At 38.8% G+C, this 18,002-nt stretch overlaps 1 long non-coding RNA gene across 1 annotated transcript; it reads left to right on the top strand.

The window, feature by feature from the left end:
* Window positions 1-2,768: 2,768 nt before the first annotated feature.
* Window positions 2,769-8,220, top strand: LOC124905047 (uncharacterized). Its single transcript, XR_007067916.1, has 2 exons — window positions 2,769-6,393; window positions 7,511-8,220. It is a non-coding gene; the product is annotated as an uncharacterized LOC124905047 (long non-coding RNA).
* The last annotated feature ends 9,782 nt before the right edge of the window (window positions 8,221-18,002 follow it).

The following is an 18,002-nucleotide window of genomic DNA, read 5'->3' on the forward strand; positions in this document are numbered from 1 at the left end:
CATGATGCCTCCAGCTTTGTTGTTTTTGCTTAGGATTGTCTTGGCTATGTGGGCTCTTTTTTGGTTCCATATGAAATGTAAAGTAGCTTTTTCTAATTCTGTGAAGAAATGCAATGATAGCTTGATGGGGATAGCACTGAATCTATAAATTACTTTGGACAGTATGGCCATTTTCACAATATTGATTCTTTCTATCCATGTGCATGGGATGTTTTTCCATTTTTCCATTTGTTTGTGTCCTCTCTTATTTCCTTGAGCAGTGGTTTGTAGTTCTTCTTGAAGAGGTCCTTCACATCCCTTGTAAGTTGTATTCCTAGGTATTTTATTCTCTTTGTAGCAATTGTGAATGGGAGTTCACTCATGATTTGGCTCTTTGTTTGTCTGTTATTGGTATATAGGAATGCTTGTGATTTTTGCACATTGATTTTGTGTCCTGAGACTGCTGAAGTTGCTTAACAGCTTAAAGAGATTTGAGGCTGAGATGGTGGGGTTTTCTAAATATACAATCATGTTATCTGCAAATAGAGATAATTTGACTTCATCTCTTTCTATTTGAATATGCTTTATGTCTTTCTCTTGCCTGGTTATTGACACTTTTATATGTTTATCGCATTATGCACTGTGCTCAGTTTAGAGATGAATAAACCGAAACTGTCTCATGATGAGAGGTCATCACAACCCCAAGGTCTATGCAATTTCTCTATATTGACCCCAGAAACAGACTGACTACGTCTCTGGTGATTGGTTGACTATAAACTGGCTTATTTGCTCACATACTCATTCAACAAACGTATACTGAGCCTTTTCTTTGTGCCATACCCCATCCTGGAAGTTGGGTGTGCAGTGAGCAAGAGGCTTAACCCTTGCCCTCAGATAGTCAGTGGGCACAGGGGCCAACTCCACTCTTTTCTACCCCACAGTGTCTCTCAGTCATCGCCACGGTTGGGAACCCCCACTTCAAACTACTTTGGAAACTCTGATAATGACCAGATCCTTGAGAAAAACACCAGAAAGCTTAATATCACCGCTTTATATACGTCTTCACTAACGAAAGGCTATTAATGCAAATGGTTTCAATAACAATTGGCAAATATGTTTTTCACAGTAGTTTTCCACAGTATGGAAACATCAAATTTCAGATTTGTTTCAGAATTAAGTATATTATGAAAATTTTACAGTTTCGTTAAATCTGTCAACTCAAATATGCTAAAATTTGAGTATGGTGCAATGTAATTTTTAAAGTTAGGTTTATTTTAGACTCTATGCAACAAGATCAATTAGAGAAAAGGTGATCATTGACCATAGGAATTGTGGTCCTATGCATTGACCATAGGGGTTGTGTTGCATCGAACTGTTAGCATAATGCTTGAAGCACCAATTCTGAGAATGTAAACCATTCTTATATCATAGACAGCATATATCCTGTGAATAACAGAGCACTCAAAAGAATGAATAAACTTGGTATATGGCTTTTCCAGGCATTTTATAAATACTCACTGCAAACTTACATATATAACTGGGTTTTGTATTTGAAAACAGTACTAATCATTCTTTCACCAACCAGGCATGTATATGTGCAGATAAGAATGATGTATGTCGGAGAGGCCTGTCTACACTGCCTAGATGAGATTTGCCCTTGATTTGCAGCCACAGCTGCTAATGGCAAAACATACAGCTATTTTCAACCACTCCACTTAGATTCACATTCTTCTCCGCTCTGGTGCTTTAAAAAGCACCAGGATGCTTGCTTGTCTCCACTGCGTCCTGGCAGGCCATTATTCTACAGACTGATTTTAATTTGAGCTTAGGCATGTCATCACAAGTTTGTGGGAGAGTCATCTAAAATCATCAGAAACATGATGACTGTGTTCTTGAAGCACACATGCAGGATGTCACGCAAAAGATTATAGATCACTTTGAAGAGTCAACATTGTCTCCCAGAGTGATGATAAATCCCGAGAAGATGTACACCTCCACATAACAAAGATCCTCCCTGGTATTGTAGAGATGAGACGTGACATGCATCGACACTGTGTCCCATGATAGACTGACAAAGAAGCATGGTGATACCTCAATTGTTCACAACTTCTGTGGGTAAAACATACTTTGGGCAAAGTTGGCCCAGGTAGGGGAAAATTCCTGACTCTTCATTGTTTTAGTGGCTGCTGAGAAAGCTCAACCATTTCTTTTGTAAAGCCTTCTGAGACCCATCAAGAAGAGGTGATCCCTTCCTCCTTTGCACCTTTACTAGCGCTTTGACATGTTCTTGTTTTTGTATCAATTTACAATCTCCTCCCTTCCTAGACTCTTATCTCTTCGAAGGAAAGATCTGTTTCTTTGAATTCCTAACACATTTCATAGTTCCTGACATAAAATTTTGGGATTAAATATGGGTGGATGAATGAATGGATGAATGGATAGGGAGAGAAAAACAAGACTCAGTAGGCTACTGAAGTTGTCTGGCCTGGGGCTGCTGAACTAGAACTAACTCACCCCATGCTCCCACCGTTGAGTCAACTTGGAGAGAAAAAATGAGGGAAGTAATCTCAAGCAGTTATTATATGACATCTGTGCTACTTGATAGGAGTCGCTACTGAGAGGAGAAGAAGCTTCCTCCATTTTAACCAAGGTTGTTGCAGATCAACCTTCCTCCTGGTATGAGGAGAGAAGAGATTATTATTCTGTAGAGATCCAGTAAGGTGGGTAAATCGGGATGATACAGAAAAGAATCTTTGAAATATGACACACATGGGAACCAACCAGAATTTAGCCAATTACTAATTAGCTGAGAAATCTGGGACAAGTTACGTGGTTTCACTGAGTATCTGGCTCTTCATCTACAAATTAAATTCATAATATCTGCTTTGCAGCATGATCAGAGGAGCTCTAAGGAGCATATGTTCAGTGCCTGGCACAGAGAGATACTCAATAAATATTTTCATTTAAAATAACCATGTATATGCATTACCTTATTTTTAGTTGTATAATGACATTTTATTTCACTAAATTTGACATTAATGTTGTTGGAAATTATCCTCTTGGTTAATTCTGGTTTTTCTGCAGAAAAATAGATTCATTTTTCTTTCAATGAGGTAAGTCTTTAGTGCCTACCATCAGGCAAAATGGTGTATCTAGAGGGCCTGTAATATTCTTAGGAAAATGTCAAATAAAATGGGGTGACCATAAGAAAGGTCCATACCAGGATGACTGAATCACACAGCATGCAAATAAGAAAGCTTGAAAGGTAGGAGGAATAGTCATTCAAAGACACATGCTGTTATGGATTGAATGTTTGTGTCCTTCCAAAATTTATATGTCAAAATCCTAACCCTAAGGTGATGGTACTGGAAGCGTGGCCTTTGGGAGGTACCTAGGTTATGAAAGTGGAGCCCTCATGATGGAATTAGTGCCTTTATAAAAAGGAACCCAGAGAGCTCTTTTGCTCTCTTTCCAACCGTTGAGAGGACAAGGAGAAGCAGGCAGTCTATGACCTGGAGAAGTCCCTCATCAGAACCCAATCATGCTGGCACCCTGACCTGAGTTCCATCCTGTAGGACTGAGGGAAATGAATTTCTGTTGTTTATAAGTCACCTGGTCTCTGGTGTTTTGTTATAGTGGCACAAATGGACACATGCATACATATGCATATGGATAAGAAGGAGCTCATGGTTGCTTGGGTTTAAAGAATAATATTTGAGTACTCCACTCATATTAACTTTCAACAAGTATAGAAGGTCAAATGTGAACCCACAATGTCTCTGAATTGGTTACCACGTCATGAGTTCTAGCACTAGGTCCTTAAGATGTTAACCTTTCCTTTCTTCAAAACAAATAAAATTGGTCATAAGAATAAACAAGTGACCTAAGAGAAGGGTGCCTGATGGGTCACTCTGTATGATGCCTAACACTTCACAGGCTGTTACAGCAACCGGCTCCAATATCCTAAACTCAACTATTTGACTTTGACTCTCCCCCTCTTTCTTGTCCGTTCCTTCAGGTGACCATCCCATTAGAAGAAGACAGATGCAGCAGAGAGGCCACTAACTGTCCATGTCACAGGATACTCCTCCTACACCCCCCTCCCTCCCTGAAGTGGTCTGTTCTCTACAATCATCTCATCATCCCCATGTTTTAACTTGTTTTCATAATTTTTCAGAACCCTAATCTCAATCACATATGAGTATTAGTAGATTTCATTATTTAAATGATTTAAAATAAGGTCTGGATGACAGGGTATGCTTGTCTGATTTAGGTAGTCTACTTCATTTAAAGAAGTACTTAGTTGCCTAAATAAGATTTAAACATTTGGATTTGGGAATCTCTTTTCACTTGTTCTTTTCTTGGTCCATAAGAAGAGCCAGAACCACAGCATGCCTCTCTATTTCAGAGCTACATTAAGGTGAGTTTAAAAACAAGTTAACTTGTTGAATGCCAGGAAGAAAAACAATATTTGGGAATAAAATCTGATGGAGATAAGATTTGGCTATTGAGGAAATTATCTTCGAATAAGCAATCATATACAACTCAATTCTTAATTAGTTGAATCAAGCTATTCTTAAGTGAGAATCATTAAATAAAATTTTAAAATTAGTTCTCAAATTATTTTTTAACCCGAAGATGTATCAATAATAAATATATTAAAATAGCATGTACAGCACGCAGTTTGATAAAAATTGATTAGGATGGATTATACAGCCCTCCCCCAAGTAGTTCTGCACTGAATTCTGAAGGTAACAGGAATGAGTGGGAAGGAGCCATGAAAAAAATGCAAACTTGTTACAACAGAAAACTACACTTGTGATTCCAAAAAAGAGTGGTTTGGGTGATTTCCAGTAATTCTTGGGAGAAAAAGAGCAGGAACTATAATCTCACAACATAATGAGTTGGGATACGAGACTGAAGTATAAAGATGAAATAACATACCTTTCAAAAACAGAATTCCTCAAAAATCTACAAGCTGAGAAGAAAGCACCTTTGAAAATATTTAAAGTAAAAATAACAGTATACAAATGCTATAATTATGGGACCATACTATAGCCATCTAGACAGATTAAGAATACAGAAGTTACCTTGACAACCATTTCAGAGATTGGATAGAAGGGGGTGAGAAGTTATGAGCTATCCCATCATGACCCATCAGTCATAGGTGCTGAAAGTCTTACCATCTGTATTAGTCTGTTCTCACATTGCTATAAAGAAATGCCAGAAACTGTGTAGTTTATAAAGAAAAGAGTTTTAATTGGCTCACAGTTCCACAGGCTGTACAGGAAGCATGGCTGGGGAGGCCTCAGGGAGCTTTTACACATGGCAGAAGGCAAAACAGATGCAGGTATCTTCACATGCCCGGAGCAGGAGGAAGAGAGGGAGTGGGGAGGTGCTACACACTTTTAAACAACCACATCTCAGAAGAACTCTAGCATTAGAACAGTACCAAAGGGGAAATCTGCTCCCATGATCCAAACACCTCCCACCAGGCCCCACCTCCACACTGGGGATTACAAATCGACATGAGATTTGGGCAGGGACACAAATCCAAACCATTTCACTATCTAAGCACAGAGCTTGGTTCTATGACTTTCAAGCTAAGTCTGCTCACAAGGAAAATGCCACTATTTCATTTATTTTTTAAATTCAGTAAACACCTACTGTGCACCTACTTTGCTCCAGGAAGTGGGAATGTCAAAACAAGTTTTAAAAGCCCCTGGAGGCGGAACTTGCAGTGAGCCTAGATGGTGCCACTGTACTCCAGTCTGAGAGACAGAGTGAGACTCTGTTCCCCCCCGCCCCCTAAAACAGCCTCTGGAATTTAAATTAACATGACAAAATAATGTGGCAAGTGCACAAATGGAGGTACATAAAAAATGGCCCTATGGGAGCTGTGCAGGATGGAGTCCACCAACGAGGCTGCAGGAACGACTTCATAAAAGAAGGAACAGCTGGGTTGGAACCTGAAAGACAGCTCAGCCAGGCATGGAGGTGTGAGGGAGGAGTGCTCCGCCCACATGGAAGAGCACATCTAGGAAACAGAGAGAAGCATGGTGCAGGCGGAACCTCTTAAAGATGGGGTATGGTAAACGATGTGGTTGAAGAGGTCAGCGTGTTGAATTTAGGAAATGAAATGCAAATAAAATGCTTAAAGGAAAATGTGACATAATCAGATTTGAATCTTAAAATGTTCGCACCCACTTTTGTGTAGAAGACACATTGGAAGAGAGTAGGACTGGGGGTTCTTCATCATACTGAGTTCATTTTCTTTTTTTTCCCCAAGGTTGTTAATTTAGTAGATCAGAGAAATCCACTCGATAAAAATGTTTTTAAGATTTCATCGTAGCACTTGATGAGCTCTCTTGTCAACAAGTTCTGGAAATATTTACTGGATGATAATACAATCAAGTAGGTTAATCACCAGGCTCCAACCTACTTTTCCAGTCCTTTCTTTCCTCGTTCCCTATACCTCCTCATGCTCCCATCATTAAATTTCTTGTTGATCCCTGTAAACACCTTGGGTGTTCCAGCCTCACTGCCTTTGTTCAAAATGTTCTCTCCACCTGGAATGACATTCTTTCATCTTCTAGCTATTGAAATCCTATTCATTGTTCAATGGGCCACCACACTCACATGTATTTTTGTACTTGCCTTATGATCCTTTCTTTATTCTACCTTCATTATAGTCATTTGAGTAATTATCTAATACTCCCTACCACAATTTACCTACGTGAGTGTAGGAATGTTTTCATATTCCTCAGCATAATGATAATGATACTTATTATAATCCCACCTTCAATGTCTTTAGTGAGTCTTGCCAGGCACTGTAGAAAGTTGCACTCCTCCTTGTCTTATGTACTTCTAAGTGGCAGTTTCATGTATTCATTAGAAATGAAAAAAACATGGCAGTCATCCAGACCCAGGCTAGCTCCTAGCTGTAAGATAGTGTTGCATGACCTGGGGCAAGTTATTTAACCTTTCTAAAGTTAAATTTTCTCATCTGAAAACTTGTAGGGTTGTTTTGGTGATTGAAGTAGATGATTGTTTAAAAGGCACTTAGCATAGTGCTTAACATACAATAATGAGACTAAAATTAGTCTCTATGAAATCACGTCTAAACCCATTACACAGATTCTAGGAGACACAAAAATACATGTGGACTCCTCTAAGGGAGCTCACAATTTAGTGGAGAACAAAAGCTGTCAATGCTCTGGGATTTTGATAAATACTCATACTAAATAAGGAAAAATGTGAAAATGGCAAATTAATGCTATAAACATTTCATATTCATATTGATATTATGGAAATACTACATGAAAGTTAAACTATTTTTAAATCTGGCACACTTAGATTACCCCCATGTGATACATTCATGTTTTACTAAAAATATTTTAATTACCCATAAACCTTTTTTTAATGATGGGGCAAAAAAAATCACCCCTGGAATATATCAGAGAAGAAAGGAAAGAAAGATGTTGAGAATTTTGAAAAGCATTTTGATGTCATTTTCAACTATTTTTTTCAGCCCTTTACTTCCTCCTCTTCAAATAAGCCATACAGAATAAAGGAAAAATCTACAGAATATTGGCAATTGGGATGACCGTTGGCCTCTACCTTGCCTAGAGAGGAAAGAAAGGCCCAAGGACCTTGAGATTTCATGTGCAGCAGCATCTGATGGGCCGGTTACCTTCTTTGCCCTGCACATTTTCTCTATTCCTCTCCCCACAGCTCTCTGCCCTGAGAGGTTGACCTGGATGAGCTGCACCCACAAGCTCATTTGTCCTCAGGTTTCCAGTTGAGTTCCACCAATGGGAGGCACCATCAGGAGATGCAGACTTCAAGAAGAGTGAAGCTGGGATGTTTACTTCCCCAACTCGCTCTACCGAGCTGCGTGTGAGCTGGCTGGGTACTTCGGTGAAGTTTGCAGCTCCCATCGGCGCCCTTTTCTACATCAGCCTCCGTAGCTGCCCAACTTTCTTTTGCCATTGCAGCCAGTTGAGTGGCAAAACTGGCCCCCTCAATATTTTACTGTTCCTTGTTGGCTTCATTTTAGCCTGTCCACACTTTTGTCAATTACCTTTTCTTTAAACTCTCAATCACCTATTTGAACATGCCACCGGGGATGCTGCTTTGATCCTGCCTGACAACCTTGGTTTCTAGTTTAATATTTTCTCCTCTCCCCTCCGCCCCACACTATGCTGGGTTGAAGCATAAAGGAAATAAAAGATTGCCTTCATGGAAATGGGTCTTATTTCTTTATTTAAAAATTATATTTTATTGGAGATATTTGATAGTTAAGAACTGTAATCTCAGTCTTTTTTTGTGATGACATTGCAATTCCTTTGTAGAACAGTTTAGAAAAACATTGAAATTTTTCCTAGGCGAATTGCTGATAGAACCACATCCCTTTCCAGCTCTTGTCCTTCCTCTGATGAAAATGAAAAGAGGTTATTCTTTGCGATATTGGAGCCACAAAACAACCAGATAAACTCACAAATAAAATCCATCTTAAGAATAAACCAGGAGTCCACAAGTGCAGTATTTCAACTATAACATAGCATGAAGAAAGGGCAGGCTGAAAGAAAAAAAGCCCGTGGGGACGAGTTTTCTTTACATGTCCTACAATAGTTTTTCTTTCATAAAAGTAATGAAAGAAAAGGTGGGGTGGAGTGGCAGTGAGGAGAAGAATGGGTGAGAAGATAAGACACGCATGCCTTGTGCTGAAGAAAAGACTATTTGTACCTAGTACATTGTAGAAATTGTTCAAGAACAGCTCAGCCATGTAAAAATATGACCCTGTAATACTGCCAAGGTCAATCAGACCCATAGTGATTGACTTAGAAAGAGCTGGCCTTACAGGATACCATTGCACAAAGCCTACGAGAGTTTATACGCCTAATTGCTAGCATTTGGAAGGTATTTTTGAATCTTGAGAATTTAATTGTACAAAACTACAGTATAAAACTCATACTTTAGTTTTTTTCTTGGTGGATAAGACTTAAAAGAGATACCATAAAAATGTAAAGTAGATACACAGTCACTCTTTCACGTTATGATATTTTCATTATTTTATTAGCATTTATTCCTGATATTTTTGTTTTAATATTTCTTTGGCGTGGCTTTATTTTCCAAATAGAATTTAAGCTGCATAAGAACAGATATCATGCTTTTTAGTCACCGTTTTTTGAATAAACTAAATTTTGACTCATAAATAATAATTTGTAGAGAGTTGCCTATTAAATGTCAAATTTATATACCTCAAATATGAACAATTACGATGTTCATGAGTAAGAGTAAAGTGTATGCTGAGAGTATGTTTATTTTTATCTTATTCATACAAAAGAATAAAGTAATTCTTTTTAAAAGAAGGGGCCCTTTATATATTTTGTATTATACGTTGAAAAAATACATGTATGTAAAAATTTGCAAGTCCAAAAAAGTACCGAGTTGTAATCAATTTTTCCTTCCAGGGAATCAGGTTTTGGAGGTTTTACATTTTTTTTAGACTTCTGTATTATTTGATTTTTTTTACAAGGAACAAGCATTACTTGTTTAACTTAGAAAAAACTAAAATCATTAACAAAATCTTGTAACATAGTGGCTTTAGAGACAACTATTGAACCAAGTTTGAAGATGTATTTGTAATAAATGGTGATTTGATTTTCCTTCTCTCACTCTTTATATGTTTTTTGTTACCAGAGTAATGGGACTTCTCCCCGATTTCAGCTCCTATCCCCAACTCATTCCAACAATATATTTTGCAACCATCTCTTTACCCATGACCATATACCCTATTAAGATTTTTCTACCCGGTACTATTTCTAGGCTGAGCCAACTTTTAGGTTGTAGAAAATAGTAAAGGGAAAAGGAATAAGGACGGGATAGGATTTAAAAGAACAAAGATATTTGAGGGGAGGACAGGCGAGGGAGAAAGTGACAGAGCCCTAAAATGATCTCTTTTGCAGTCTACCCTCCCCCGAAATCAGTGCACTTAAATGTCTTTTTTTTATGGTGATTTGGGCAATATTTACTAGAGCCAGAAATACCAGAGTATCAAGTATTCCTGTCTGAGCTGGCATTTTGCCTACTAGTCCATGAATTCTCCCACTGGGTACATCCTGAAGCCTTCTTGGAGATTGCAGGTCATAAATGTGCATGATTAATTGCCTATGTTGAAACAAACAAACAAAAAAGTTACCAGAACATTCAGACTAGAAGGTGAAGCAAGATCCTGTTGGGCGACAGAAGAAATCTGTTTGGGAGCCTGACAGTGATGGCTGAAGGAAGAAGATTGAGCTGACTGGAGCTGACTAATACACATTTCTAGTAGGTGGAATAACAAAAGGGATACGACTAGAAAATAGGGGTTTGTTACAAATTGTGAAAGACACCTAATAAATTACAAGGGACACAGGCTATGGGGCAGTGACTTAGATAAAACTAGAAGAGCAAAATGTAAAGCAATTTTTTTGTTTTTTAATTTAATTTAATTTAATTTAATTTAATTTAATTTAATTTAATTTAATTTTTTGAGACAGAGTCTTGCTTAGTTGCCCAGGCTGGAGTGCAGTGGCACAACCTCGGCTCACTGCAAGCTCCGCCTCCCAGGTTCACGCCATTCTCCTGCCTCAGCCTCCCCAGCAGCTGGGACTACAGGCGCCCGCCACCATGCCCTGCTAGTTTTTTGTAGAGACGGGGTTTCACCGTGTTAGCCAGGATGGTCTCCATCTCCTGACCTCGTGATCCACCCGCCTCAGCCTCCCAAAGTGCTGGGATTACAGGCATGAGCCACCGCGCCCGGCCAATGTAAAGCAATTTTTAAGACAAGTCCACAACTTTGTTTCTAAGTAAAATTAACTAATTGAGATGGGAACATAGGGGCAGTATGCTGTCTTCCTTATGTATAGAGATACCCACAGATGTCTACCACCTATGGGTGAGAACAAATAATTAATCATTTTCCAGTTCTGGTTAACAAACTATATTGCCTCCCTTGGAGGTGTACAGTATGTGCATACAAAAACCTGCATTAAATATGTTACAAAAAGTCTGCCCAGAATTGGGCAAAAGAGAGCCCCATGGTGTCCTCAATTGAGGCCATATACTTTTGAAGACCTCACAGTTAACAAATGAAATATGAGAGAATATGATTTAAGATTTCTTTGAATGCCCAAATAGTAAATGAAATTATATGTTCTATAAAGTGCTCCACAAATCCTGGTACAAAAGCAGTCAGTAACTTTTTTTCATTTTCAGTTAACCGCTGTGGGACTATCTTGGTGCATGTTGCACTGCTGTAACAGAATATCAGAGACAGTGTAATTTACAAAGCAAATAGTTTTTTCCTCACAGTTCTGGAGTTTGGAAAGTCCATGATGGAGGGGTTGGAATCTGGTGAGGGAGGAGGGCATCACGTGGGTGAAGGGGAGCAGGAGATTGAACTCACAGCCTGAAGCTTTCTTATAATTGACATGAATCCATTCATGAGGGTAGAGCCCTCATGACCTAAACACCTGTGATTAGGCCCTGCCTCCCAATAGTGTTGCACTGAGGATTAAGTTTCCAGCCCGTGCTTTTTAGGGGACACGTCCAAACTATAGCAAAGACTTACATGTCTTCGTAACTGGAAGTCTAGTATTTTTTTCTTCAGGTTCCCTGTCTTTCCCTTACTCATCGATTCCCTACCCTCTGCAGGCTCATCCAGTCCAAAGTAGGCCAATTCTGGCTACCAGAAAGTGGAAGGATATAGAGGCAAAACAGTGCTCTGCTGCAGCTGATGCCTCTCAAAGATTAGTCCTACACAGTTGGAACAGTGATGACTGGCCCAGAATGCTGCAGTTATCTCACTTCTTCAGTTCTAAGGTTGGCCAAAGGCTGTCCATGTTTGAAGTCCTAGCAATTGCTGTTATACACAAACAGTCCATTCTAAACTGCAAGCTACTAGTAAGGGACCGGAGTAAGGTCCTGGACCCCCGTGGTTTTTCCTCCTCAGTGAGCTACCTAAGGGAGAAGTAACTGATCTTGCTGCCTTTACCCACATCTCTCACATTTACCTTTTGCTCACCTTTCTCAGGGACGCAATCCTCAGTGATTTAGTCAAGGTGCTATATCCTTTTCAGGAAGGTTCCCAAGTAATTCCATGGTTCCATTGTCTCTACCTTTCTAAATCAGGCTACTCTCTGTGACTCCAAAGTGATTTTTCATCCTGGCCTAAGTCATGAACTCCTGGGCATTTTTTTCCCTAAAGAAAAGAAAAACACATCTTCATTTCTGATTGGTTACTGTTGGGTACAGCATCCCTGGACATATGTAGCTTCTGCTTTCAAAATTATAAACAGTAGCTGCTGGGAGCAGTGGCTCACTCCTATAATCCCAGCACTTTGGGAAGGTGAGGGCAGATTGCTTGAGGCCAGGAGTTTGAGACCAGCCTGGCCAGCAGGGAGGAAACCCCATCTCTACTAAAAATACAAAAATTAGCCAGGCATGTGGTGTGCGCCTGTAGTCCCAGCTACTCGGGAAGCTGAGGCATGAGAATTGCTTGAACCGGGGAGGCAGAGGTTGCAGTGAGCCAAGACTGAACCACTGCACTCCAGCCTGGGCCGCAGAGTGAGACTCTATCTCCAAAATAAAAATAAAAAAATTATAAATAGCTGTGACAAAGTACAAACCATTAGCTTTAGATGTCTTAAAACCTTAGGATGACGGTTCTCTACAAAGTAGAACTTTGTACTCATTTGAATGTTTTTGGATGTAAATTACAGAAATCCAGCAAAAGCAAAGCAAAGCAAACAAACAAAAAAGTAGCCAAGTGTGGTGGCTCATGCTTGTAATGCCAGAACTTGGAGAGGCCAAGGCAGGAGAATCACTTGAGCCCAGGAGTTTGCAACCAGCCTTGCCAGCATAGTGAGACCCTGTCTTTAAAAAATTTTAAAAATTAGCTGGGTGTAGTGGTTTGTGCCTATAGTCCCAACTACTTGGGAGGCTGAGGCAGGAGGATAGCTTCAGCCTGGGTGGTTGAGACTGCAGTGAGCTATGATTGATCACAACACTGCACTCCAGCCTGGGCAGCAGAGCAAGACCCTATGTTCCAAAAAAAAAAAAAAAAAAAGTGGATTTTTTAGTTCAATTAACTAACCGAGAATTCCAAGTCTAAGCGTTCTTGTCAGGGCTCACTCTTTCTATGTCTTAGATCCACATGACTTTGTTTCTTTTTAAGAATTGACTGAAGCTTCTCACCAGGTGCATTGGCAGGAAAGGTTGTCAAAGCTCATACCCTACAGAACATGATCCAAAAGAAAGAGAGAACAGTTTTACTCCCAGTTCCAATATATGGAATTGCATGAGTGCAATTGTCTAATTGTCACTGCTAGGGTTGTGCATGTGCTCTGTAAACCATGTGAATTAGAGAAGGGTATTCCACGATTAATCAAGCCACACAATGTTTCCCTATTGGGTAGAGACAAGTCATGATTGGCACTCTCACCACAACCACGTAGAAAGAGGAGAAATATTCCCCCAGTGGCAAGAGAAAAGCTATATTTAAAACCAGTTTTGGAAGAGGGCATTGCATTGGGTCTCCTTTAAACTGCTACTGGCTGAGTTTATGAGGTTCCACTGAGAGACATAGTCCATCCAGTTTGTATGTGGCCTTTATCAGGCATGCGGGAGAGCACAAAAGACTCACAACAAACCTTTGACCTCATGTCCATAGGTTTGGACTGGGTTTGGAGAGTTCACCTGCAGACTAGCTTGATAAAAAGTGCTGTCACAGATGTAAATTGGAATGTCAGGAATAGCTTTATTGACTTTTGTGCCAGAGCATAGGATCTGAAAAGTCATTTGTTCTGCAATCTTTTAGAAAGACAGGGGCCATGCAATATGATCTTCTTCTACTGTGATATTACTGGAAAAAGGACTGGACATTTGTGCTGGCTCCATTTTCTGCTGATATATAGTTGTGACCCAGGACAATTTATTTAACCTCTTTGGAACTTGGTTTTCTAATGTATTAAGGGAGGTGGTTATGCCAGTTGATCTCCAACATCTTTGATCATTCAGCCCTGAATTTCTAAGGTTTTATTTTTTTCATTGGTTTTCATCTGACACATAGGCTGGAAAAGATGAGACTATGGTAAGAGGCAGGTAAAAGTCATTGTACTAGACAACTTGAAAAGGATATCTAAAAGATAATAAAAAGACAACTGGTTATTTTTATTTGTTTTAATTTCCCTAAAAAAGATATCAACTCCAATTACCAATCTTTGTTTTTAAATTTTAAAAATCACTTATTTTAAGGAATATTTAAGAAGGAACTTGTAGTGTCCAGTGAAGCAACTTCAAAAAGAAATTAGAAAAAGAGACTTGAGATAACTAGCAAAAGCAATGAGTAGATCTTGTTTTGACCCTAGCTTGAACAAAACAATTATAAAATACATGTTCTGTACAAGGGAGAACTTAAATATGACTTGCCTATGATATGGTACTAAGGAATTATGATTTTCTTAGATGTGACAACAATAATATTGCTATTATGGCAAATTGTGGGAAATAGTTATTACTTTACAGTGATGCATACTTAAATATTTAGGGTTATATGTCATGATATCTGTGATTCACTTTCAAATACTTGAGCAAAATAAAATATATATAAATCGAATGCGGCAAAATGTCAGCAAAAAAAAAACCTAGGTGAAAGTTCAATGGTTATTTCGTATACTATTCTCACCGTGTTTCTGTAAGCTTGAAAGTTTCCAAAAAAATTAAAGAAAACTGATTGTCCTTTAAAGTTTCAAGCTGTGCTTACCTTACATATTTATTTCAAATACAGTTCTAGTTTTTAGTTTTCCCAGGTGAAACTGGACTTAAGTGTCTTTAAGACAGTTAAAATATGATACCTGGATTTTCAACTTCAGGATGTGAGTTATAAGGTAGTAAAGGGACAGCCTATTTCCTATGCAAAAATGACCTTAAATAGAATCTTTAATATTCAGTATGTCCCTCCCTGCCCTCAACCACGCACACACATAGAACCTTGACTCTTTATAGCTTTTGCTAATTGTGTTAATGAGCCCAGATGAGGCTGAATAATGTAGTGGTTAGAAATTCTAGCTCTGAAACCGGTTACCTGGGTTGGGATCCTTATGTTAACACCTTATGTTTCAGTTTTCCCAGCTGTAAAATGGGGGAAAATGTTATCACCCATATGATGGGGGCCTTTTGAGGATTAGACATATTATGCACTTAGCACAGTTTCTGGCACTTCGTAATTGTTAATTATTATTTATACATTTTGCTGTGGGGAATCCAGATAAGGTTTGAGTTGACGTCAATGTTCAGGGACAGAAATACTTTTGCTTTTCAGGTGATAAAATTGGTTCAAGAGATGCATTCTGCCCTAGTGACTAGTGCTGAGACAGAGATTTTTAAAAACTGGAGGGCAGCATGGCACTGTGGAGTCTCTTTGATTGTAGTAATTTCCCTTACCAAGTGACTTAAGTCAAAGTCTTCTCAGAATGCTAGAAAACTAACATCTGGAGAAAATAAATTTCTCAAGACTCTCTAAAAATAACATCTCCCCAACAACTACAGGCTGGAATTATATTTGATAGATGCTTCATTGTACTTGGCAGGCATACTAAAGTGATGTTGTGGTGGTTATTACAAAATTTGCTGCAATCATTTATAACCAAGTAAGACTCCTTCATTAGGTTACGTGTCTATTATAAGTGCTTATTGAAAACCCAGGATTTGGTTTCTTTGTAACATGTAAGTTTCCCGTTTATCTATGACCTTTTACATTTAAGTATTGCCCAAGCACATGAAAAAAAGGAATTTGTTTCAATGGAGATACACAAATATCCTTATTCTTCCTGGACCTTATTATGAAAATTCAATGCTACTCAAGTTTCTCTAATAAAACTTTAGAGAAACTGCCAAAGACTTGGGTTTTATTTTGTTGTCAGTCTTTATTTAATAATGGCATCTGTATTTTACCCAAAGTAAATCTTTTCCTTCTTAGAAAGGTAAGCAGCGGATGACTTCTCTATTGAAGACTCCTCTTTGGGGCCCTGGTAGCCATTTGCCAGGCCAAATATGATTCTTCACACATCAAAAGAGCCATTTAAAATAATTTATGTAAATGAAATTGTTGCATTGCTAGAATCTGAGTAAAGAAATCCTTTGGTGCCTTGGAGCAACTGCAAGAAGCTAACATCAAAATCAGTCCTTCAAATTCTTTTTTCAAGGAGAAACCAGGTAAAAGAGACTATATGATTTAGACTTGTGTGTGTTATTCCTCTGAATTCAATTTAAATTGGGGAAATCTGGCCTTCGTGGGGAGCTGTTGGTATCCTGTTGGAAATGAGGTCATCTCTGTTCTGATCTTCCACTCTCTGCAAAAGAATCTACTGTAGTGGGGCACAAAATAGAAGCTGTTCAGGAAGGCTGAGTGAGGGAAGAAGTGGACTCTAGGCTCCCTTTCATCCCAGAAAGTCAGTATCTGTTTGGGGTACAAGTGACAGGCCTTCAAATATGTGTCACATAGCCTTGCTAAGGACGAAATAAAGGTCTCAGTTCCATCTCCAAAATTGTCAACTTGGACTTTTTAAAAATATAAACAGCACTAGATTAAGTGAATATATGCACTGGAGCTTCTTGGTAAGTGAAAATTATTTTGAAAATATGATTAGTAATTTTTTTATTTTATTATTTATTATTTTATTTGCCATTTTCAAATATCACTATCACTCTTTCCTAACCATTTTTAAGTTTTTAACCTTCTGCCCAAGTTTTAACATTAAGAACACCCAAGTCACAAAAGTGTCTCTCCAGCACTGTGCTGACTAGGTGGACACTGATTTACCCACTTCTCAAATTTTTGGGTATTTACAGCTGCTTGTAATATCATCATTTTGAACCATCGCTCCATACAATATCTACATACTTACAAACAAACAGAAAGAAACAATACCTCTAAGCTTACATACTACAAAAAAAACAGTATTATTAGCAGATTATAAATTTTTGCTCTTTTCTTAACTTCCTTAGGCTCATTTGTTCTTATTGAATGTTTTACTAATTGTCGACCCTCTCCCCCAACTCTGGCCCCAGCTGGCTACTGAACAAATTTGCAAACCTGATGAAAATATGAAACAGCCTTAGTTCCAAGTTAGCCCTTAAGTGCAGCTATCTGTCCCTGTAAGGTCACGTTCTCTCAAGCATTTGGTGAGCAGTGTAAGTGCCCTACAAGGAGTGCGACTGCTTGCTACACTCTCCAGTGGTGAAGCAGGCAAATTTGGACACAGCAGCTGTCTGCTCCTGAAGACAGCTGGAAATAACCATGTGTGATAGGATCAGCTATGTGAGGCAGGGTAGCACTGTTGTCTGTAAACAGCATGCTATCTCTGAGACTCCAAGACAGTGACACAAGCAGCACCAGGCTCAACCTGCCCTCAGAATAGCAGGGGAGGCGCTTTACATCCAGCCTTGCATAAGTTGAATCCGAATCACAGGATTTTAGGACTGAAAAGTGCCTTGGAGACCATGTCACAGCCCTCTATTTTCACAGATTAGAAAGGAAACAAAAACAAGAATCTGAGACCGCAGAGGTATAGTGACTTGTGATATTTGTAATTGTCATTTTGCATACATGCATAGACCCATCAGGGATCCAAGCAGATGCATGTGTCATTCTGTCGTGCTTAAGCTGGTTCATTTGTTTCCTTTCAAATGGTTAATTATGCACATCAACAAAATTTCATAAGATTTAGCCTTAGATATAAGAGTAAATATTTTGTTCTGCCCTCAATTCAAATATGCCCTCAGGAGAGCGACATCAACAGTCATGCGGTTACTGTATGGCAGGCTTTGTCTGGAACCAAGCACTGAAACTACAAAGACAAATGTCAGGATGACTTAGAGGCATTCACAGACTAGTCTGGGAAACAGATATATGAACAAATAATTAAGAGATATTACACAAGTGTCATATGGGAGATTTATGTAAAGTGAAATATTAG

The sequence above is a fragment of the Homo sapiens genome, chromosome 21 (assembly GCF_000001405.40).
Source record: "Homo sapiens chromosome 21, GRCh38.p14 Primary Assembly".
Taxonomy (NCBI): Eukaryota; Metazoa; Chordata; class Mammalia; order Primates; family Hominidae; genus Homo; species Homo sapiens.